General features: G+C 47.5%; 1 protein-coding gene across 11 annotated transcripts in view, besides 2 other annotated features; it reads right to left on the reverse strand.

Moving 5' to 3' along the window:
- Nucleotides 1–3916, reverse strand: part of LMAN2L (lectin, mannose binding 2 like) — a 34136-nt gene extending 30220 nt beyond the window's left edge. For 4 of the 11 annotated variants that reach the window (NM_001322356.2, NM_001322346.2, NM_030805.4 and 1 more), the window contains exons 1-2: nucleotides 3706–3916; nucleotides 1801–1919 (exon numbers count right to left, since the gene is read on the reverse strand). Coding sequence is in view for 2 of the 11 variants with exons in the window: in NM_030805.4 (NP_110432.1) it covers nucleotides 1801–1919; nucleotides 3706–3892 (306 nt within the window). In the remaining 9 variants the exon portion in view is untranslated. Of the gene's footprint in view, nucleotides 1–988; nucleotides 1070–1800; nucleotides 1920–3691 lie in introns of those variants that run through there. The other 7 variants (NM_001322351.2, NM_001322350.2, NM_001322347.2 and 4 more) reach the window with 4 other exon arrangements.
- Nucleotides 2292–3231: an enhancer, noted in NCBI's record as "H3K27ac-H3K4me1 hESC enhancer chr2:97404177-97405116 (GRCh37/hg19 assembly coordinates)". NCBI's record gives its function as "activates a minimal SCP1, AML or CMV promoter by ChIP-STARR-seq in primed H9 embryonic stem cells {active_cell/tissue: H9 hESC(primed)}" and the evidence as "EXISTENCE:reporter gene assay evidence [ECO:0000049][PMID:30033119]".
- Nucleotides 3232–4169: an enhancer, noted in NCBI's record as "H3K27ac-H3K4me1 hESC enhancer chr2:97405117-97406054 (GRCh37/hg19 assembly coordinates)". NCBI's record gives its function as "activates a minimal SCP1, AML or CMV promoter by ChIP-STARR-seq in primed H9 embryonic stem cells {active_cell/tissue: H9 hESC(primed)}" and the evidence as "EXISTENCE:reporter gene assay evidence [ECO:0000049][PMID:30033119]".

A 24189-nucleotide genomic window follows, 5' to 3' on the forward strand; every position in this document is an offset into this window, starting at 1 on the left:
TGGCCTCCTACAGCACAATGCTATACTGTTTTGCTCAGGACCATGTCTAATTGTGGTTCTGAAATTCTGCCACACACTGGATTCACCTACGGAGTTTTAAAAAATCCCAATGGCCAAGCTGCACCCTATTCCAATTAGATCAGAATCTCTGGGGATGAGACCCAGGCATTGATTCCAATGGATAGCCAAATTTGAGAACCACTGCTGAAACAAATGCATCCTATTCAAATAACTCAGAAACAAGCCCATAGTCATGGTGATAGCCAGATAACAGCGAATACAGGTATCAGAAGTCGAAAAAGGGAAGAACTAGAGGCTATACTAGAACTGCTGCTACAAGTTATGTAGAGACAGACAGCCAGCAAGACAGCAGCAGAGTATCAAGCCTTGAACATAATCATCCGGTAACCCACAAGAGCCCCATCAACAAACCTGTAGAAGTGTAATAACATAACACATATTTCTATAACCATTTTAACTTGCCACAGTCTTTTCATGTCTATTGTCCTATTTTATTCTCACGACAACCCCAGTGGGCAAGTAAAACAGGTATTCTGAAGCTCATTTATCAGATAGAGAAACAGAACTAAGAAGTTAAATAATCTGCCTAGGGCTCACAGGAGGACTGTGACAGAGCTGGACCGAGAATCCCAGTCTTTCAACTGTCCTTTATCTCTGCTACGAAAACACAATGCTCTGTACTCTGTCCAAAAATGAGCTCGGCACTATGATCTAGGTTAAGGGGCCAGTTTGTGCAGATAGCTAATGTAGAAATTTCTCTTGCCCTCCTGAACAGGGAAAAGAAATCGTTCTCTTTTCTGAGATTCGCTTATCTACAACTAATGAGAAAAGCCACGTAAAAAAGTAAGTTCTTAGTTTAAGAGAATTCCAGAGAAAGTATCAAAGGATGCCAGAGTCATGCCCAAAAGTAAACTGGTCGTAAAAGATTTAGAAAGCCCTGGAAACAGAAAAGAAAGCATCATCTTACACTTGTACAAAATCACAGTGCAGCCACACCAGGAATACTGCATTCACTTCTTGTCGCCATACCTCAAGGAAGACAATGCAGCTAGAAAAGGTCCAGAGAAGGACAAATAAAATGACCAACAGCTCAGAGTGGCTTTCACATGAAAATAAAATTTTATATCAGACTCTTCAAATTGAAATAACAAGATGGGGATGCTGGGATAAGGTTTGGGATCAATTTAAGAGTACTCTCAACCAGGACCGGTGGCTCACACCTATAATCCCTGACCTTTGGGAGGCCAAGGCAGGAGGATTGTTTGAGACCAAGAGTTTGAGACCAGCCTGGGCAACATAGCAAGACCCCATCTCTACAAAAAACGTTTTAAAAATTAGCCAGGTGCAGTGGCACATGCCTGTAGTCTCAGCTACTCAGGAGGCTGAGGCAGGAGGAGCCCTTAAGCCCAGGAGTTTGAGGCTGCAGTGAGCTATGATTGTGCCACTGCACTCTGGTCTTCTTATAATCTTCTTACAAAGTGGTTAAGCAGGAGTTAAGTTATTATTAAACCCTAAGAAGTAGTACTATTGGGCCAATCAGGAATTAACGACATTTCAGGAAAAAAAAATGAATTATTTGCTATAATTAAATAGAGAGCATTTTCCTAAATACCTGATTTATTTATTATCAAGGTCAGAATAATCTCAAAAATAAAGATCCTTGATATCCACAGAAGATAGAATACCAGGGGGATAGACAGTAAAATTAAATCAGTATGCCACTGCTGAACTTTTTAGGCCTTTCTGGGTCACCAACACAGGAGGGAGAAAGATTCTTACCACCCGGTTCCACAAGGCACCCTGTTTACTTTGCATATCTGGGGTAAGGCGGATATACTGGGTCATCACCATGGCATTGCCCATCAGATTCCACAGTGAGGAACTGCCTGTGCCCACACCTACAGGAAGGAAGTAGATCAGTTCATACTTTTCAACACCAATCCATTCAGAAAGCAGCCACCACAGAGCCTCTGAAAGCTGAGCCATCATCTTTTTCCCCCTTTAATGTCACTCAATCTCCTATCTTCTCTCAGTCATGAATCTTACCATCTCTACAGCTTTCACAAGGCCTTTATCAGGTAAGGACCCCAAAGCACATCAGAACTCTCACTTTATGCATGTTACAGTAACCATAGCTCACATCCATTCTTCCCGTTTTATATGTGAGTAAACTTCAGCATCGTAAAAGAAAAAAATTTTCCTGAGTTATATCAAAAAGAGTTTGACAGGCCAGGTGCAGTGGCTCACCCATGTAATCCCCACACTTTGAGATGATGTGGAGGGAGGGCATCTTGAGGTCAGCAATTTGAGACCAGCCTGGGCAACATAGAAAGACCCTGTCTTTACCAAAAAAAAAATTAGCCAGGTGTGGTAGTCCTTGTCCATAGTCCTAGCTACTCAGGAGGCTGAGTTGGGAGCATCGCTTGAGCCCAGGAGATTGAAACTGCATGAGCCATGATTGTGCCACTGCACTCCAGCCTAGGCAACGGAACAAGACCTTGTCTCTAAAAATATATAAATATAAATAAAAAGAGTTTGACCCTCAGGCCTCCGGGGCTTAGTCACATTCTTCCTTTTTTTTTTTTCTTTGAGATGGAGTCTCGCTCTGTTGCCCAGGCTGAAGTGCAGTGGCATGACCTCGGCTCACTGTAAGCTCTGCCTCCCGGGTTCACGCCATTCTCCTGCCTCAGCCTCCTGAGTAGCTGGGACTACAGGCGCCCGCCACCACACCTGGCTAATTTTTTTGTATTTTCAGCAGAGATGGGGTTTCACCGTGTTAGCTAGGATGGTCTCAATCTCCTGACCTCGTGATCCGCCCACCTCGGCCTCCCAAAGTGCGGAGATTACAGGCGTGAGCCACCGCCCCAGCCGTCACATTCTTTCTTTAAACAATCCTTAAAGTGTGAAGCTACTCCCTGTACCCTCACCTATAAACTTCTTTAAGAATGAAAACTTTGTGTCTGCAAACCCATAAGCATTAGCAAAGAGACAGCACAGAGGCACTCCAGGCATGTAAGTGAATAAATGATTACCCTTAGTAGTAGAGTATACTCTTGCACTTTGAATTGTTTTCTGTCCCACTACCTACGCCTTAGTGGGGAAAGACTTGTGTTAGTTAAGCCATCTGCACTGGTTTGTCATCGTTTTGTGGCTAACTGCATTAATTTTCTGGCTGATAAGCTGTGCTTAGAGTTCTGTGAACCCTAACCTCTTTCACCAACAGGGCCCCTAGGCTGGAGAAGAGAAGGTGGTTCTACCCAGCAACATAAATTTATCATCTTCTCATTTCGTTCAAGTTCTACCCCAGTTCTTCCTCCTGCTTTATTTCTAGCACATCCACAGGTCCATCTGGAGACTGGCTCATTGCTAGTAGCCCTCAATCACTCCTCACCATTCTCAATTCTCTCCCCTTCCCAAACTCCTCCTGTCTAACTCCAGGCCTAGTACTAGTGGCACCCGACAGCCCTGCCTTTACCTACTGGAAACTTCCAGAGCTTGGCAGGCACACCTAACTCCTGCCTTTCAGACCTGTGGCTCCCAAACGCGGAGGGAGTCTCCGTGGGCCCCACCACCGCCAGCAGTTTCCTCCGGGCCACGAAGCCCTTCGCCGCCCCCGCCTCTACCCCTGAAATCAAGTCCCGAAGCCCGCCCCACTGCACGACCACCTCACCCTGGGCGCCTCACCCTGGTAGGGCTTCGACAGCGAGTGCTCCCGTTTCAAGTACTCGAACGTTTGACCCGCCCCGACTTGCTGTGGCCCCTGCCCAGACCCCAACAAAAGAAGAAGGAGTAACATCCTGGACCCATCCCGAGCCGACAAACATCGCCGCCACTGCTGCCACGACCCAAGGGGTCCCAGAGTCGCCGCCATCTTTCCCACCAACGACCCTTCATCAAAAGCCCGCCCCGTCGCCCAACCCATTGGCCCGAAGAGCCATCTGCCCTGCGTCCTATTGGCTTTCGTCAAGCCCCCGCCCCTGCAGGTGACTATATCACCGATTGGCTGGCTTCTGTATCAGTTGCCTTGCCAACCCAGAAAAGGGGCGTAGCCGAATGCCCAGCCCCCCCCCTTATTTGCATTTGCCCTGAGTTCCACTAGGCTTGCTGGGATACGTAGTTTATTTGTATTTTGTTTTCTGCGTACGAGAGTAAATTTAAAGAGATAAAACGTTTCTTCTGGTCCCAAACATTCTATCCTCTCTGCAATAGTACGCTCCTGACTGCAGCTCTCTGAATCAATTTGGAAGATATAGCAGTGAAAGGAGAAATAGACAAATCCGTAAAATAGCTGGAAAACTATCAATTTATAAAAGACTTGAACAGCACTACCAACTAACTTGACCTGATGATATTTATAGAAACTCCACCTAACAACTGCGGAAGACACATTCTCTTCAAATGCAAATGACTCCTTTGCCGTGATAGTCTGGGCCATCAAGCAACCTACAGATATAAAAGAACTGAAAGCACACAAATTAATTAATTCTAAAAGCCATCACCTCCTTTCCTCCCTTCCTCTTTTTTTTCTTTTTGGTTTGAGACGAGGTCTTGGCCAGGCGCGGTGGCTCACGCCTGTAATCCCAGCACTTTGGGAGGCCGAGGCAGGCGGATCACCTGAGGTTGGGAGTTCGAGACCAGCCTGACCAAGGTGGAGAAACCCCGTCTCTATTAAAAATAAAAAAAAAAATTAGCCAGGCGTGGTGGCACGTGCCTGTAATCCCAGCTACTGGGAGGCTGAGGCAGGAGAATCGCTTGAACCTGGGAGGCAGAGGTTGCAGTGAGCCGAGACCAAGCCATTGCACTCCAGCCTGGGCCACATAGAGCAAAACTCCATCTCAAAAAAAAAAAAAAAAAGAGAGACAAGGTCTTGCTCTGTTGCCCAGGCTGGAGTGCAGTGGCACAATCTCAGCTCCAGCCTCTCCCTCCCTGGCTGAAGTGATCCTGCCACCTTAGCCTCCTGAGTTACTGGGACTACAGGCACATCCCTTCGTCTTTATCCGGCACCACAACATGTGTCCAGACTGGTCTCCACGTAGCCACTAAAGTGATCCAAACTATCTAACCATGGTAAGTGTCAGGGTTAAATGAGTCAATATTGGTAAACCTCTTAGAACAGTGCCTTGCGTGTAGTAAGCACTATTTCTTTCTTTTTTCTTTTCTTTTTTTTTTTGTTTTTGTTTTTGTTTTTGTTTTTGAGACAGGGTCTCTCTCTGTCACCCAGGCTGGAGTGCAGTGGCATGACCACAGCCTCAACCTCCTGGACTCAAGGGATCTTCCCACTTCAGCCTCTCAAGTAGCTGGGACTACAGGTGTGTGCCACCTCACCTTGCTAATTTTTATTTTTTGTAGCTATGGGGTTGTGGGGGAGGTCTCACTAAGTTGCCCAGATTTGTCTCATACTTCTAGACTTCAGTGATCCTCTCTCCTCAGCCTCCCAAAGTGCTGGGATTAGAGGTGTAAGCCACCGCACCAAGCCATAAGCGCTATTTCATCATCATCATTCTTATTAACCGGGCCTTTGATGGCTCACCATCACCTGTGGGGAGGAGATTCAAGCCCCTCAATTTGGCACACAAAGCCCCCTGCCATCTGGCCCTGGCCTTATTGCCCATGACTCTTTTCCTCCATCTTTATGCTCCAGCTTCCCTTCCCTCTTTTTTTTTTCTGCAGTCCACTTCCTTCTGGAGGTCCTTCTCAAACCTCTCAGGCAGGGTAGATTCTCCTGTCTGAGCTCTCAAAGTGTTCCATGCACATCTCATATAGAGCAATTGACAGATCTGTGTTTATGTCTTCCCAATAGACTTAACCAAAGTTAACACTCTCTTGCTTTCCTGAGCATGAATATATTTAATAAGATAAACATAATTATGAGCCTACTTTACAGGGGATCAACTTTTTAAAATTAAAGCTGTCACAGCTATTTTTTTTAAAGAGATGGGGTCTTGGCTGGGCACGGTGGCTCAGGCCTGTAATCCCAGCACTTTGGGAGGCAGGCGGATCACCTGAGGTCAGGAGTTCAAGACCATCCTGGCCAACATGGTGAAACCCCATCTCTACTAAAAATACAAAAAATTAGCCAGCCGTGGTGGCACACGCCTGTAGTCCCAGCTACTCAGGAGGCTGAGGCAGGAGAATCACTTGAACCCAGAAGGCGGAGGTTGCAGTGAGCCGAGACCGCACCACAGCACTCCAGCCTGGGCAACACAGTGAGACTTCGTCTCGAAAAATATATATATACATATATATACAAAAATTAAATGGGCGTGGTGGCAGGTGCCTGTAATCCCAGATACTTGGAAGGCTGAGGCAGGAGAATCACTTGAACCCAGGAGGTAGAGGTTGCAGTGAGTCAAGAAGATCCCACCACCATACTCCAGCCTGAGCAGCAGATCCGTCTCAAAAAAACAAAAAAAAGAAGAAATGGGGTCTCAATCCATCAGGCTGGGGTGCAGTACTGTGATCATAGCTCACTACAGTCTCAAACTGCTGGGTGAGCCTCAGCTAATTTTTAAAATTTTTTCTAAAGATGGGGGTCTCTATGTTGCCCAGGCTGGTTTTGAACTTCTGGCCTTAAGCGATCCTCCCACCTCATCTCTCAAAGTGCTGAGATTACAGGTGTGAGCCATGGTGCCCAGCCTGTCACTGCCATCAGTCTTTGACACCCTACAATGTCAAATGTCTGGTGCTAAGACTTTAGGAATTGCAATGAATCTGTTCGTGTCATACACTGGCTTTAAAACCATTCATAACTCCCAATTACCAAAATCCAAAGTCCTTAGTGTAGCATTCAAAGCCCTTTGCATCCTGACTGAAATCAGGCGCTACGCATGTGTACTGTAATGTGTGTCACCTGGAATTATGGAGCTCAATTAACAGATTATGGGTTTGTCTCCGCAGCAAGGCTGGGAGCTCCAGGACCACAGGAAGCAGGTCTTACTCATTTCCTAACTCAGGCCCCACCCATTTCCCCAACCCCAACCTATCACCCAGCACATAGTAGGGGTTCTAATTGTTTTGAATAAATTATTTCCATTGCATTTCTCTGCAAGATGAATTTTTAATTGTAGTAAAATGCACATAAAGGCCGGGCGCGGTGGCTCACACCTGTAATCCCAGCACTTTGGGAGGCCGAGGTGGGTGGCTCATCTGAGGTCGGGAGTTCGAGACCAGCCTGACCAACATGAAGAAACCCCGTCTCTACTAAAAATACAAAATTAGCCGGGTGTGGTGGCGCATGCCTGTAATCCCAGCTAGTTGGGAGGCTGAGGCAGGAGAATCGCTTGAACCTGGGAAGTGGAGGTTGCGGTGAGCCAAGATCGCGCCACTGCACTCCAGCCTAGGCAACAAGAGTGAAACTCTGTCTCAAAAAAAAAAAAGAAAAAAAATACATAAAATACAGCGTATAATTTTTAAGTACAGATGGTCCTCAACTTACAATGGGGTTACCTACAGAAAAACTAAACCCATCCTAAAGTCTAAAAATCCTAAGTCAAACCATCATTAAGTCAGGACCATGTGTGTTCAGTTCAAAGGCATTAAATTCATTCGCAGTGTCATGCACCCTGTCAGCTGAATTTCTGATAGATTGACACAAGCAGAAATCTCATTGTAAAATTCTGTGTGATGAGGAAAAGGGGAATAAAGGAGAAGGGTGTGAAAGGTGAGATGCACTGGACTATAAATCAAATCATTTTGTTCAGACTGTTGCAATAGGAAGAATGCTTATTAATGAGGAATGTATCAAAGAAAAGGAAGAGCCAGGCCCGGTGGCTCATACCTGTAATCCCAGTACTTTGGGAGGCTGAGGCGGGTGGATCATGAGGTCAGGAGTTCGAGACCAGCCTGGCCAATATAGTGAAACCCCATCTCAACTAGAAATACAAAAATTAGCCAAGCGTGGTAGTGCACACCTGTAGTCCCAGCCACTCGGGAGGTTGAGGCAGGAGAATCGCTTGAACCCAGGAGGAAGAGGTTGCAGTGAGCCAAGATCATGCCACTGCACTCGAGCCTGAGCAACAGAGTGAGACTCCATCTCAAAAGAAAAAAAAAAGGAAAGGAAGGACAGGCGGGGCTCGGTGGCTCACACCTGCAATCCCAGCACTTTGGGAGGCCGAGGTGGGGGTGGAGGGCGGAATCATTTGAGGTCAGGAGTTCGAGACCAGCCTGGCCAACATGGTGAAACCCTGTCTCTACTAAAAATACAAAAATTAGCCAGGCATGGTGCCTGTAATCCCAGCTACTTGGAAGGCTGAGGCAGGAGAATTGCTTGAACCCAGGAGGCGGAGGTTGCAGTGAGCCGAGATCACGCCATTGCACTCCAGCCTGAGCAACAAGAGTGAAACTCCATCTCAAAGCAAAACAAAAGGAAGGAGACCTGGGGTAATCCAGGTAAACAAGGGATCTTTCGTGAGAGGAAGGATGGAGAGGGTCTTATCTGAGTCACTGAGGAAGGGTGGAAGTGGGTCTTATCTTGGGATATTCCAGAGCAGGGTAGTCCGTTAAGACAGCCATCTCTCAGCTGGGCGCAGTGGCTCATGCCTGTAATCCCAGCGCTTTGGGATGCTGAGGCGGACAGATCATATGTCAGGAGTTTAAGACCAGCCTGGCCAACAAACATGGTGAAACCCTGTCTCTACTAAAAATACATAAAAAATTTGCCGGGCATCATGGCACGTGTGTGTAATCCCAGCTACTTGGGAGGCTGAGATATGAGAATCTCTTGAGCCTGGGAGGCAGAGGTTGCAGTGAGCCAAGATCGCGCCACTATACTCCAGCCTGGACAACGGAGTCTACAAAGTGAGATGGAAGGAAGACAAAAGGATGGGGAATTTCTTTACTGTAGGTGCTTTTCAGAAGCACAAGCTTCAGCTAAGTTCAACACAGTCAAGGTGTTGAGGGGTGGTAGTGGGAAAGAGAACAAGTAGCCATGGCCCCTTCAACGCCACCTTTTACTCACACGCAGAGGCACCTCCGAAAGCTGGCTCAGGTCTTGCGCTACCATCCTTTCAGCTGCCTAGTGGTCCCCTTTTTCTCTGTGGAATCATCTATCTCCCACGATCTAGGGCTGCACAACTTCAGGGCCGGGGTATTCATATGCAATGTGAGTTGTGCATTCCAGCAGTTCTGCATGATTCCTCTACCTTCCTGTCTTCCAAACCAAAGAGCAGGGCTGGGCGCAGTGGCTCATGCCTGTAATTCTAGCACTTTGGGAGGATCGCTTGAGCCCAGGAGTTCAAGATCAGCCTGGGCAAGATGTTGAGACCCTGTCCCTTTTAAAAAATTAAAAACAACAACAACCAAAGAAGTACCTCCACTCAGGAGCACCTTGAAGCCTGATGCCCCTTCACCCCATGACAGAGGCTCCAGGGCAGCCTCTTGGCCTATTCTTTCCACTGCTTCTCACCCTTCTTTTACAAACCTTGCCATTCAATTCTGATCCACCCCCTCCCAGGACAGAAGCAGCCCTCCCTAGGCCAAGTACAACCATCCATCCATCCTCAGGTATCCAGTGTGTCAGGTCCATCTTCAGCCCAATAGTCACAGCTGACCGGGTCCTACCAACTGTACCTCCAGTTCCCCAGGTAGCCACTGAAGCATACAAGAGGATAGCAGCTCCAACACTAACTAGCTAGCTACTTCCCAGCGGTGACTTCTCAACATTGGACTCCTGAAAGCCACAGTCAAATATCCTGGGGTAGGTACCTTTGCCTGAGCCCTACTGCCAGACACGTGACTCAACAAGTGTAGGGATTTAGCTTTGAAGAAAAAAAAATAAAACCTGGAGAATTTAATTTTTTTTTTTGAGAGAGAGTCTCACTCTATCACCCAGTGGAGGGCAGTGGTGTGATCACAGCTCACTGCAACCTCTGCCTCCCAGGCTCAAGCCATCCTCCCACCTCAGCCTCCTGAGTAGCTGGGACCACAGGCACATGCCACCACACCCAGCTAAATTTTATATTTTTTGTAGAGACGGGGTTTCACCATGTTGGCCAGGCTGGTCTCGAACTCCTGGGTTCAAGCAATCCGCCCACTTCAGCGTCCCAAAGTACTGGGATTACAGGCGTGAGCCACCATGCCTGGCCTTTTTTTTTTTCTTTTAAGAGATGGGGTCTTGTTCTGTCACCCAGGCTAGAGTGCAGTGGTGTGAACTGCAGCCTCAAACTCCTGGGCTCAAGGGATTCTCCTGGCTCAAACTCCTGGGCTCAAGGGATCCTCCTGCCTTAGCCTTCTGAGTAGTTGGAATACAGTCAGGTGTCACCATGCCTGGCTATTATTTTATTTTTTGTAGAGATAATGTCTTGCTATTTGCCCAGGCTGGTCTTGAACTCCCGGGCTCGAGGCATCCTACTACCTTGGCCCTCGAAAGTGTTGGAATTATAGGCATGAGCCATCGTGCCCACCCCACCCTCCACCAGAGAATTTAATACGCAGCCCAGTTTTCAGAACTACAGCCCTTTCACATGCAGTATCTCATTTTGACCTCACAATGACTTGTTGTGGTAATCTTTAAGATTAGGACAGGCTGGGCTCAGTGGCTCACACCTGCAGTACGAGCACTTTGGAGGCCGAGGCAGGAGGATCACTTGAATTCAGGAGTTTGACACCAGCCTGGGCAACATAGTAAGACCCCGTCTCTAAAAAATACAAAAAATACAAAAAATTGTCTGGGTGTGCTAGTGTGCGCCGGTAGGCCCAGCTACTTGGGAGGCTGCGACATTTTACCCCGGGGGTCAAGGCTGTAGTGAGCCATGATCAGGCCACTCCACTCCAGCCTGGGTGACAGAGAAAGACCCTATCTCTTAAAAAAAAAAAATGACAAGAACAGTTCATAGAGGCTCCAACTCCTGAATTTAAAGATAAGAATTAAAGATTTGCTTTAAGATACTCTAGAGGAATATCGTGTGTGTGTGTTTAGAAGGGTAGGATGGATAAACAAAAAAAGCATCAGGATGTTGAGAACTGCTGCAGCTGAGATAGGGGTGCACAACACTCCCTCCAGCTTCATGGATGTGTGAGAGTTGCCGTAAGGAAAAGCTTCTCAAAGTCTCCCGTGGAGATGATGAGGAAATATGCTGGGTATGCATTTGTGGTGTTTTCTAAATTTCCCTGAGGGAAGGAAAACTGTAATTAACTATAATCTAGTAAAGTTCATTGTGACCCATCCAATATAATGTTGTCATAACTAAAGAGAGAGGCGTCTGCAATCTAGAAAAAGAACAGTCAAGGGATGAAAATAAGTCAGAGTTGTATCAGTTCTGTCCAGGAAAGAGAGTGCTTCTAAGCAGCCTGTGTTAGATCTCCATATAACTTTATTCAAATAAAGCCTATTTTCTGAGCGTATTTATAAAGACTTCCAGCCTAACGTTCTAATCCTCTTAGCAGTTTAATTTTTCTGTATAAATTAAGAAATTAGTGTGTATTTGGGTTTATCACTTAGTTATTAGTTTAGCCAGAGTGACTTAGCCCTCCCAGTCTGTTTATTTGCAGGGGAATTGATAAAAACCAGTATCCTGAGGACCAGATCTCAGATCTATGGTGGCTCTCCTTGCAGTGGCAGAGCTCCCACAATTCAGCAATGCCTCTGGGGATCCAGATGCTTGCTTCCCACAGAGTTAGGGCATAAGATTCGCCAAGGATCGTAGAATGGGGTGTGGTGAAGGAGGAGAACTCTGGCATATCTGATTGGAGTTGGAATGAAACTTCTGCCTTTTGAGACCCAGCTGTACTGTATGATCTCAGGAAAATTACGTAATCTCTCTGAGTCTCAGATCTTCTGTCTGTAAAATGAGTGTGATGAAACCCACCACACTGGACTTCTGAAAGCATGAAATGAAAGACTGGGCTAGGCACAGTGGCTCACACCTGTAATCCCAGCACTTTGGGAGGCCAAGACAGGCAGATGACCTGAGGTCAGGAGTTTGAGACCAGCCTGGCCAACACGGTGAAACTCCGTCTCTACTAAAAATACAAAAATTAGCCAGGCATGATGGCACGCATCTGTAATCCCAGTTACTTGTGGGGGCTGAGGCAGGAGAATCGCTTGAACCCAGGAGGTGGAGGTTGCAATGAGCCGAGATCACGCCACTATACTCCAGCCTGGGCGACAGAGCGAGACTCTGTCTCAAATAAATAAATAAAAGAGATGGAGAGTCTCTGGAAGGTTTTGAACAGAGGAGGTTGTAATCTAACCTATATTTTTAAAGGATCACTCTGGCTACTGACTTGAGGAGTGACTGTAGAGTAGAAAGGGTAGGAGCAAAGAGAATAAGCAGGCAGCTGTGCGGTTACCCAGTGGGAAAGGGAAGGGCTGGGGGCTGGGTGGGGCTACTGGATGGGTCTTAGATATATTTTCAAGGTACAGCCAGCAGGGTTTGCTGATGGGAAACACAGAGGTCTAAGAAAAGGAGAGGAATGGGCCAGGCACAGTGACTCACGCCTGTAAACAACACTTTGGGAGGCCCTGGCGGGCGGATCACCTGAGGTCAGGAGTTCAAGACCAGCCTGGCCAACATGGTGAAACCCCATCTCTACTAAAAATACAAAAATCAGCCAGGTGTGGTGGCACATGCCTGTAATCCCAGCTACTCGGGAGGCTGAGGCAGGAGAATTGCTTGAACCCGGGAGGCGGAGGTTGCAGTGAGCCGAGATCATACTACTCCATCATTCCAGCCTGTGTGGCAGAGCGAGACTCTGTCTCAAAAAAAAAAAAAAAAAAAAAAAAAAAAGAGAGAGAGAGAGAAGGAGAGGAGTGAAGGATGACTCCAAGATTTTGGGCCACAGCAACTGGAAAGATGGAATTGCCATATACTGATAGAAGGGAAATTATGGAAGATATGTCTTTATGGAGAAAAGATCAGTAGTTTCATTTTGGTGATAATAGGTTTATATTTCTATTGGACATCTAAGCAAAAAACAAGTCCTCAGAGCCATACCATCACCCCAGTAAGACCAAATTTTCAGTCTTTAAGAGAAGCTAGAAAGTCTCTCTAAGCCTTCTCTGGCTGAGGAGGCTGTCCAATTACAAAAAAGAGAGAGAGAAGCTGTTGGGTCAGGGAATGGTGGCTTACACCTGTAATCCCAGCACTTTGGGAGGCTGAGGAGGGAAGATGGCTTGAGGCCAGGAGTTCGAGAACAGCCTGGTCAATATAATGACACCCCATCACTACAAAAACATTGAAAAAATTAGCCAGGCATGGTGGTGAGCACCTGTAGTTCCAGCTACTCAGGAGGCTGAGGCCAGACGATCACTTGGGCCCAGGAGTTTGAGATTACAGTGAGCTATAAACGTGCCACTGCACTCCACCCTGGGTGATAGAATGAGACCCTGTCTAAAAAAGAGAGAGCGGGCCAGGCGTGGTGGCTCACGCCTGTAATCCCAGCACTTTGGGAGGCCAGGGCGGGTGGATTACCAGAGGTCAGGAGTTCGAGACCAGCCTGACCAACATGGAGAAACCCCATCTCTACTAAAAATACAAAATTAGCCGGGCATGGTGGCGCATGCCTGTAATCCCAGCTACTTGGGAGGCTGAGACAGGAGAATCTCTTGAACCTGGGAGGCAGAGGTTGCAGTGAGCCAAATTGCACCATTGTACACCAGCCTGGGCAACAAAAGCGAAACTCCATCCAAAAAAAATAAAAGAGAGAGACAGAGAGAAGCTGTTAGGGGTCAGGATGGCGGGAAATTTATCAGTGGATCAGTGCTCAGTAAAGAGAATTTTCCCTCACATCTTGTGATAGTCACTTCCAAGTGGCCCCCATGATTTCCCCTCCTGCTATTCATGCCCTTGTGTAGTTCTTTCCCACACGATATTAGGTTGGGTCTATGTGACCAATAGAATATGGAAGAAGCAGTGATATGGCATTTCTGAAGCTAAGTCATAAAAGACATTGCGGTCTCCACCTCAGTGTTTTTCTCCTCGGATCACTTACTCTAGGGAAAGCCAGCTACAATATTGTGAGCAGCCCTTCATGCAGGTCCTCATGGTGAGAAACTGAAGCCTCTTGCCAACAGCCACGAGAGTGAGGTTGGAGGTGGATCTTCCAGCCCCAATTAAAGCCTTCAGGTGATTGCAGCCCCAGCCAACATTGACTGCAACCCATGAGAGAGTCTGAGCCAGAACCACCCAGCTAAATTGCTTCCTAATTCCTCCCCACAGAAACTGTGACATAATAAATGCTTATTGTTTTAAGCCACTGAGTTTTGGGCATACTTTTTTATACATCAATAGATAACTCACGCCGGGCGCGGTGGCTCACACCTGTTATCCCAGCACTTTGGGAGGCTGAGGTGGGCGGATCACCTGAGGTCGGGAGATCGAGACCAGCCTGACCAACATGGAGAAACCTTGTCTCTACTAAAAATACAAAAATTAGCCGGGCGTGGTGGCACATGCCTGTAATCCCAGCTACTCGGGAGGCTGAGGCAGGAGAATTGCTTGAACCCAGGAGGTGGAGGTTGCGGTGAGCCAAGATCATGCCATTGCACTCCAGCCTGGGTAACAAGAGTGAAACTCTGTCTCAAAAAAAAAAAAAAAGATAACTCACATACCTTTCCAAGTCAAATGAAGGGGATGTTCCAAAACAATTTGGAGGCTCCTGCAAAGAAGGAAGACTGGCACCTCATGCCACAATCAGACCTCTGCTCAGGCAGTGAACTTGCTCTCCTGCCCTCCTCACTCTTAGAGCAGAGGGAGGAGAGAATTAGAGAGAGAGTTGGGCAGAAAGAGGGGTTGGTGGCAGGGTGCACTGGTGCATGCCTGTAGTTCCAGCTACTCGGGAGGCTGAGGTGGGAGGATCACTTGAGGCCAGGAGGTTGAGGCTGCAGTGAACCGAGATTGCACCACTGCGCTCTAGCCTGGGCAACAAAGCAAGCCCTGTCTCGAAAATTAAAAAAAAAAGAGGGGTTGGCCCTGGAGTGGTCTCTACTACAACCCTTGGGTAGGCTCCCCAAAGAAGGGTACCCTCCAGGCAAACGGGACCCCAACAGTGAGAAGCAAGAAGCAAGGAGACCTGACAGGGGCTGAGCCTCCCACTATGAGAACCAATATCTGGACACCAAATCACACTCAGTCAACCAGTAACAACCACAAAAGGAGTGGCGATTAAACTGTGGGAAATTAAGTAAAGGGAAATTACCCTTCTTCTCTCTCTTTCCTCAACACTGGAAAAGTTAGACCTGAGAAGGAAGGGAACGTGTACCAGGACCATCCCATGACCGCCTACACTCAACACCAGGCACAAGTGAACACACAAATATATCCCCCTCCAGCCAACTGCAGCAAATGGAGGGGTGAAAGGCTGACCAAAGCCCTTCCCCACATCCAAGTCCCTGCAGCAGAAACTGATCCCCAAGCCTGGAGAAGGATGACAGGGCGGGAACACAGATGATATATATCAGAAATGAGATGGCAGGGGTTTTTGTTTGTTTTTTTGTTTGTTCGTTTTGTTTTTGTTTGTTTTCTTTCTTTCTTTCTTTTTTTGAGATGGAGTCTCGCTCTGTCACCCAGGCAGGAGTGCAGCGGCACAATCTCAGCTTACTGCAACCTCCTCCTCCCGGGTTCAAGAGATTCTCCTGCCTACTAAGCCTCCCAAGCAGCTAGGACTACAGGCATGCGCCACCATGCCTGGCTAATTTTTGTATTTTAGTAGAGACAGGGTTTCGCCATGGTTGCCAGGCTGGTCTCGAACTCATGACCTCAAGTGATCTGCCCGTCTCAGCCTCCCAAAATGCTAGGATTACAGACGTGAGCCACCGTGCCCGGCTTGTTTTGTTTGTTTGTTTTGTTTTGTTTTGTTTTTGAGGCAGGGCCTTGCTCTGAGGTTGGAATGCAGTAGAGCAATCATGACTCACTGCAGGCTCGACCTCCTGGGCTCAAGCGATCCTCCAGCCTCAACCTCCCAAGTAGCAAGGACCACAGGTGTGCACCAGAAAGCCTGGCTAATTTTTAAGTTTTTCACAGAGATGGGGTTTTGCCATGTTGACGAGGCTAGTCTTGAACTCCTAGGCTTAAGCAATCCTCCCTCCTCAGCCTTCTACAGTGTTGGGGTTACAGGCCCTGATTGGGCTTTTAACGCTAAAAGTCATAATAAAGCTATGGAATCTATCCAAGACCTCAAGAAGGATACAGAAAGGGAAATGTGACAGAAATGGGTTAAAAGCCTTGAATGGAAAAGAAATAAAACCGTGTCATGTTAAGTCCCCACTGAGTTGAGATCGCTGATAAAAAGGTCATAATTTTTTTTTTTTTTTTCTCTGAGACGGAGTCTTGTTCTGTCACCCAGGCTGGAGTGCAGTGGCCCAATCTCGGCTCACTGCACCCTCTGACTTCCCGGTTCAAGCAATTCTCCTGCCTCAGCTTCCTGAGTCGTTGGGATTACAGGCATCTGCCACCACACCCAACTAATTTTTTTTTTTTTTTTTAGATGGAGTCTCACTCTGTCATCTAGGCTAGAGTGCAGTGGCGCGATATTGGCTCACTGCAACCTCCGCCTCCCGGGTTCAAGCGATTCTCCTGCCTCTGCCTCCCCAGCAGCTGGGATTACAGGCGTGCGCCACCGCACCTAGCTAATTTTTGTATTTTTAGTAGAGACGAGGTTTCACCATGTTGGCCAGGATGGTCTCAAACTCCTGACTTCAGGTGATCCACCTGCCTCAGCCTCCCAAAGTGCTGGGATTACAGGCGTGAGCCACCACGCCCAGCCTATTTTATTTTATTTTATTTTATTTTATTTTATTTTATTTTATTTTATTTTATTGAGACAGAGTCTTGCTCTGTTGCCTAGGCTGGAGTGCAGTGGTGCAATCTCAATTCACAGCAACCTCTGCCTCCCGGGTTCTAGTGATTCTCATTCTTCAGCCTCCCAAGTAGCTGTGATTACAGGTGCCCACCACCACGCCCAGCTAAGTTTTTGTATTTTTAGTAGAGATGGGGTTTCACTATATTGGCCAGGCTGGTCTTGAACTCCTGACCTCAGGTGATCCACCCACCTCTGCCTCCCAAAGTGCTGGGCTTCAGGCGTGAGCTACCATGCCCGGCCTATTTTTTAACTTTTGTAGAGATGGGGGCGGGGGCGGGGGTGGGTTGGTGGTAGTGGTCTCACTATGTTACCCAAGCTGGTCTCAAACTCCTGGCTTCCCAAAGTGCTGGGATTGCAGGTGTGAACTGCTGCACCCAACCCTGAGAAGGATTCTTAACCTTTCCAAATCTCTATTTGGAAAATGAGACTAAGAATGGTACCCCTCCCAGTCTCCTTGCAGGGCTGAGGTGAAGGGGGACAGAAGCAGTGCATTCAGCAGGTAGAGGGGACACTGTAGCTGACAGCTTGAGGCTCCCATAACCTCCATTTAGGGATCTCCTCCTTGTATAAAAGCCCCAGTCAGACCCCTGATCAACCCTTCTTGGTCTCCTCCCCACTGTAGATGAACCACAGCCAGGGGTGCTTTGATTGTCCATGCCTGGGCAGTTGCCCATTCCTACTGGAACCCTTGGAAATGGGGGAGGGTCAAGTCTCCAGAGAAAGGGGAGGTACCGTGCCTGGAAGAAAGAGGACAGGAAGCTGGACAGATCCAAACAACAGGTGCCCACTACATCCGATGATGCTGATTTTGCCTTCACCTTACAGAGGTCAGTTGCAATTCTTTCCTGTGTTGCCCAGGAAGAATTACACATCCAGGAATTTAAATCAGCATTGAACCTGTTTATCTGATCCAGTCCTCTTATGTTAAAGATAAAGGCCCCGAGGCCCAGCAAGTTGAGCTGGTTGCTAAATGTCTACAGGTAATTGGCACCTTGGCAATTGTTTGGGACAAACCTGAGAAAATCTGAATACTTGGGAATGAAGATCTCAAAGGCTCTATGGATTTCTGGGTGAGTTGGGACACGATAAGATTGAGGAATCAGGAACTTGCCTCATTAGTATGCCCGAGGTGATTTATTGCCACATGTGAGTTGTGCCAAGTTCTGTAGGTGTGGGTGCCGCTTACATAGACTGGAGCCTTCTAATGCCCACCAGTCCCTGCAGCCTTCCTCCCAGAGGAATTCCACTGGGATACCCACGAGCAATATATGAGACCAGTATTTTTCAAATGTGGATCAGTCAAGAAATCAGTTTAGTTGGATCAAGACACAGATTTAAGAAAAAGAACATAACTTATATCAATACATATAGTCTCTGGAAACTGAATTGTAATTTTCCATATAAGGCCACTGGCCAAGTGCTTCCCACTCATTTCCTACCCCTGGGCCCCAGAAGTATTATTCCTACTCCACTTTATTTTTTTTTTTTAGAGATGGGGTCTTGCTGTGTTGCCCAGGCTACAGTACAGTGGCTAATCACAGGACTAATTGTAACATGCTGCAGCCTCAAACTCCTGGGCTCAATTGATCCTTCTGCCTCAGCCTCCTGAGTAGCTGGGATTATAGGTGCACACCACTGCATGCTCATACCTTTTTTTTAAGGGAAGTCCAATTCATTCCATAAATGCATATGGAATGCTGGGCATTCCTGATACAGAGATGACTAGGATACAGTTTTTGTCCCCAAGGGATTCTAAACCCAATAAGAAATGGCCTCTAGCCCAGAGTACGGTAGAGAAGAAGGCAGACGGTGGCAAAATACCTAACAGAAAAATAATCCCTGGGCACTGAGATGAAGGGGAAGGAGGACCAACGTCTTCTACTTTATACACTGTGTTATTTGAATTTGTTGCAGTGAACATGTATAACGTTTGCATTTTAGAAGCCCAGTAAAAATAGAAAATTACACAAATGATCAAATGATTGAAATGTAATTGAAAATCTTGGACTGGGGAAGGAAAAGGAACTAATATTTATGAAGCAGTGCTTTCAAACTCTGGCTCATTTCGTCCTTTTGATGCAGCGAGAAGGGTCTCTTGATCCCCATCTTATTTATATATTTATTTATTTATTAATTTTAATTTTAATTTTTAATGTTTTTGAGATGGAGTCTTGCTGTGTCGCCCAGGCTGGAGTGCAGTGGCACAATCTTGGCTCACTGCAACGTCCGCCTCACAGGTTCACGCCATTCTCCTGCCTCAGCCTCCTGAGTAGCTGGGACTACAGGTGCCTGCCACCACGCCCGGCTAATTTTTTGTATTTTTAGTAGAGACGGGGTTTCACCGTGTTAGCCAGGATGGTCTTGGTCTCCTGACCTCGTGATCCGCCTGCCTCAGTCTCCCAAAGTGCTGGGATTACAGGCATGAGCCACCACGCCTGGCCTCCCATCTTATTTTTTAAATTATTTATTTTTATTTATTTTATGGATGTATTTATTTGTTTATTTTAGTCTTGCTCTTGTCGCCCAGGCAGGAGTGCAATGGCACAATGTCGACTCACTGCAACCTCTGCCTCTTGGATTCAAGCAATTCTCCTGCCTCAGCCTCCTGAGTAGCTGGAATTACAGGTGCACACCACCACACCTGGCTAATTTTTTTATTTTTAGTAGAGACGGGGTTTCACCATGTTGACCAGGCTGGTCTCGAACTTCTGACCTAAGGTGATCCACCCACCTTGGCCTCCCAAAGTGCTAGGATTACGGGTGTGAGCCACCACACCCGGCCTTTTTTTTTTTTTTTTTTTTTTTTTTTGAGACAGAGTCTCACTCTGTCGCCTAGGCTGGAGTTCAGTGCTGTGACCTCGGCTCACTGAAACCTCTGCCTCCCAGGTAATCCCCATCTTAAAAATGGAGAAACCAAGGCCGTAAGAGGTAAAGCACTTTGCCCCAATTCTCTGGTTAGCAAGGGACAGAGCCCTTGATATTTTTGCTATAGACTTTTATTCATTTGCCAACTCAGAAAAAGGGTCAGAAACTAGGGACAATGATTCCAAGCACTTTGTTATTAGGCCTTTATAAATACTCAGTGTCTGCTATCTTGTTCTTTCTTGTTTTTCTCTAGTGATTTATAGTTAATGTCTTAAAATAACGGTCTTTGTGTTTTTGGAGGTGGAAGGAAAAGCTTCCTGGGGTAGCCAGTCTTGGGGACAGAGGACGGGAGGATGGTGGCATGAGAGAGGGCAGGCCGAAGGACTCCCCCCCCAGGCCCTGGTACTAGCAGGGGCTTCCCAGGCAGGCCTTGCCTAAGGGCTTGCCAGGTGTCTGACACCGAATGAGAGGCTTCCCTCTCTTCCTGGCTTCCCCAGCCTTTTCAGCTTGAGCCCCTCTGTGCTGTGAAAACCTTTCTTAGGCTCTCTTCCAACAGGTTTCTCCTCCACTCCCGCCTCCTTTCTGTCCTCCCGACGGAGGCCCAAGGGTCCAATGGGGTCTTGCTTAGTCCCAGGTGGCCTCCCCCTCAGCCTCCCTTCTTCCCTCATCATCCACACCTGGTGTTCTCCCTCTGGAAGAAAGGGAAGAAAATGAACGAGAAGACTGTGGCTGCAGGTGGATGGAGAGACACACTGGAGCTAAGGAAATTTACAAGTGTCTTCTAAAAATCCTGGCTGTGGGTCTGGGTACAGTGGCTCACACTTGTAATCCCAACACTTTGGGAGGCCGAACTAGGAGGATCACTTGAGACCAGGAGTTCGAGACCAGACTGGGCAACATAGGGAGAACCCGTCTCTACAAAAAAACAAAAAAAATTAGCTGGGCATGGTGGCGTGCGCTGGGACTGTGGTCCCAGCTACTCAGGAGGCTGAGGTGGGAGGATTACTTGGCCTAGGGAGGTTGAGGCTACATTGAGCCATGATTATGCCACTGCATTCCAGCCTGGATGACAGAGCAAGACCCCGTCTTAAAAAAAAAGAAAAAGAAAAAAAATGATCCTGGCCACATCATTTTCATCATTATCATGGTGACTGGGCATGTTTATTGAGCTCTTACTATGGGCCAGGCACTTGTGAAGTACTTATGGCTCATCATTTCACTCAACACTCGAGAATGTCCCAGAGTCCCAGGTCACACAGGCAATCAGCAGCCAAGCCAGCCCCCAGGGTCCTTCAAAGCTGTGCTCTGAACCTCCATGGTGGGGTATCCTGCCTTCCATGGTCCTGCTCCCAAGAAAAACAATTTGTCCTATGGCCAGAGGAAGCTTGAAGCCCACTTACATAGTTAATACAAACCCCTTCACCTTTGCTGCTCTGGCATTCGACTTCCTTGGCCTGGACCCACTGATGTGATGCTCTCACTCCCTCCTCTGGCTCAATTAAACATTTGTCTCAGGCAGAAATCATGACATCCTCCTATCCAAGTCCTCATGCCCCCACTTGCTGGGATGACCTGAGTTGGGATTTGAGCACCACCCTAGCTAACTCCACGCTAACTCTGTCCTTCTGTAGAGGGTTGACTGCTCCTTCCTTCCTGAGACAATTTAACTGCATGGATGAGTCCTGCAGATGTTCAGGGCTATCATAGTAGACTCATGGGCAGCCGGTGAACAGGCCACTGCATGTACTGACGACGGGCATAGCTCACCCTGAAAAGATGTCTCATGGTCCCCAACCAGGTTCTCCAACCCCGGGGCCCACGGTGCACCCAGAGGGATTCTACCCATTGTGGGGCCAGGGCAGGCCTCAGGCTCTGAGCCCCACTAGCGGAAGGGCAGCTTCTCTGCCAGCAGCTTCTCTGCCAGCAGCTCCTCTGCCAGCAGCACCCCATCTTGGAGACCCAGAGGGTGAAGAGGGCTAAGAAGCTAGCCTGGGAGGATTAGATCCCAGGTTACTAATTCAGGATCCTTGTTCATCATCGGATCTCCAGCATCAGCATGATGCCAGGTACAAGTGAAGGGGCACTAAGCCTTTAAGACTGTTTCCCTGCACAGAACCAGAAGGGAGTGGGCTCAATTATGGGAGGTGTAGCCATGTTGCCATAGGGCTTACACCTGGAAAGAAGCAGTGAGCTCCAAGGATCTCATGACTAGGGTGCTGTTACATGCTCAGGGGTCCAGGATCAGGACTCCTCTGGGCAATTTCTACTTGCAAATAGAAGCAACTAGGTAAGTAAGGACTTGCCACCTTGAGGCAGAGAAAACAGGTTTGATCATGCCTTTATCTGCCCCCAAAGGAGAGAGGCTCCTCGCTTGCACGTTTGCTTTCTGCCATTCTCACCGCCTGGCTAACAGAGAGCCACACATGCATCCAAGCTTCCTGACTCAGCATGTTAATAGACTGCTATCTCCATGCTGTCCCTACGGTGGGAGAGGTATTTCGACATGGCAGATGCAGAAAAGGCAGACTCCCTAACCAGGGTTGCAAGCTGGCAGCAAATGAACCTGGACTTCGGCCTGGGCCCCGTGTGCCTTCTCCAACAAGTGATACTGTGTTTATCTTTTTATTTTTATTTATTTATTTATTTATTTATTTATTTATTTATTTATTTTTTGAGATGGAGTCTCGCTCTGTCACCCAGGCTGGAGTGAGTGGCGTGATCTCGGCTCACTGCAACCTCCGCCTCCCGGGTTCAAGTGATTCTCCTGCCTCAGCCTCCCGGGTAGCTGGGACTACAGGCGTGCATCACCTCACCTGGCTAACTGTGTATTTTTAGTAGAGACGGGGTTTCATCATCTTGGCCAGGCTGGTCTTGAACTCCTGACCTCAGGTGATCTGCCCGCCTTGGCCTCCCAAGGTCCTGGGACTACAGGTGTGCACCATCATGCCAAGCTAACTTTTTATTTTTTAAATTTTTAGTGGAAATGAGTTTTTGCTATGTTGCCCAAGCTGGTAATCCCACATTTAACCTAAATATCTAAAAAACTTATTTTTCCTTTTCTTTATTGGCTTCTGTCATTAGACTCAGTGCATATGAACAGAGCTTCTGAGTGTAGACAGCCTGAAAAGGGTAAAATAAAAGGAGCCAATTCGTACTTAAGCAGAAAAAAGACATAATAGAGAAAAAAATAAAATCATAAGAAAAAGGGAAAAAATAGCCAATTGATTGATAATAGAATGGGAAAGTTTCTAAGTATGGGAGGTGGGGGTAGGGGTGGAGCAGGGCGCTGGTGTTACAGCTCACTAGGAGATGAGGAGAGCTGGGTTTGCTTTGAGGCAATTCAGGTAGCTCTTCCTGGTTGGTGGAGACAGGGAAGGAACAGGCAGTCAAGGTTCTGCTTTTGTTCTGTCTCAGCCAGTGCCCATTCCAAGGCTCCTATTCCTCGAAAAAACTGACCTGCTGGGCACTCACTGCAAAGTATCCGCTATGAGTGGGGCCCCTACTAGCAACATACTTCTCCAGGCTGGCCTAGTTTACAGAACCCTCAATCCCAGCTAACAGGGCTTTCTTGAGTCAGGGCCTCTCTGCTACCACACCTCCTCCCACAACATTGTGTGATCCTTTCTGTTTAGGCTCCTTCCGTTTGGTACTGATTGCTGCTTTTATTAGCAAACATTACACCAAAATGAAAATAAATACAAGTGTCAGTGCGGGAAGGGAGTAAAGTGGGTTCTGTGTCTTCAGTACTGGCAAAAGATTTGCTGTGAGACCTGGTGGTCAACCCAGTACCTGATCTTCTCTGTGCACCTGTGCAATTATTGTAAGGATGTTTATCTGTCTGTCTTCTTCCCCCTCACAGGGCGGGCAGCTGTGGTCTTCCTTATACACCCTACTGACACAGGGCTAGGGCCATTCAGGAAGCAGTCATTTCAGGGATAGGCCCACTGCCGCGCCTGCCTGCTCATGTCCACAAGCAGCTGCCCAGCTGATCAATCACCACAATTTGGGGTTAGGAGTTTGGTCCTGGAAGGCAGGTAGCAACAACTACTACCTAGCCAAAGAATATTCTAAAGAGCTGTCCTGTCATGTTCAATGTCTAGGTCCACAATCCCGCAAGCTTAGCGAAGTAATGCTCTGTCATTCTTACCCCCATTTACAGATGGAGAAATGGGCTGGGAGATGACAGTATGGAGGCACCAGGATTTTTGTCTCGGCTCAATTTCTGCATCTCTAAATGGAAATAATTCTACTAACTCTGAGGGTTGTTGGGGGGATTTAATGAATATATGTGTTTACTTGTTTATCTCCTGTTTTCTGTTCTAGACTGTAAACCCCAATGGGCAGCGACTTTGGCTTGTTCACTGCTCTATTGTCAGAGCCTAGAACAAGTGCCTGGTACAAAGTAGGTGTTCAATAAATATCTATGCCTAAATGGAAGAGACAGGAGAGAAGTCTAGGCCAGAGCCTGCCCCTTCTATAACCTTAGTTCCCCAGATTTGCCTTCCA

The sequence above is a fragment of the Homo sapiens genome, chromosome 2, assembly GCF_000001405.40.
Source record: "Homo sapiens chromosome 2, GRCh38.p14 Primary Assembly".
In the NCBI taxonomy this organism is placed as follows: Eukaryota; Metazoa; Chordata; class Mammalia; order Primates; family Hominidae; genus Homo; species Homo sapiens.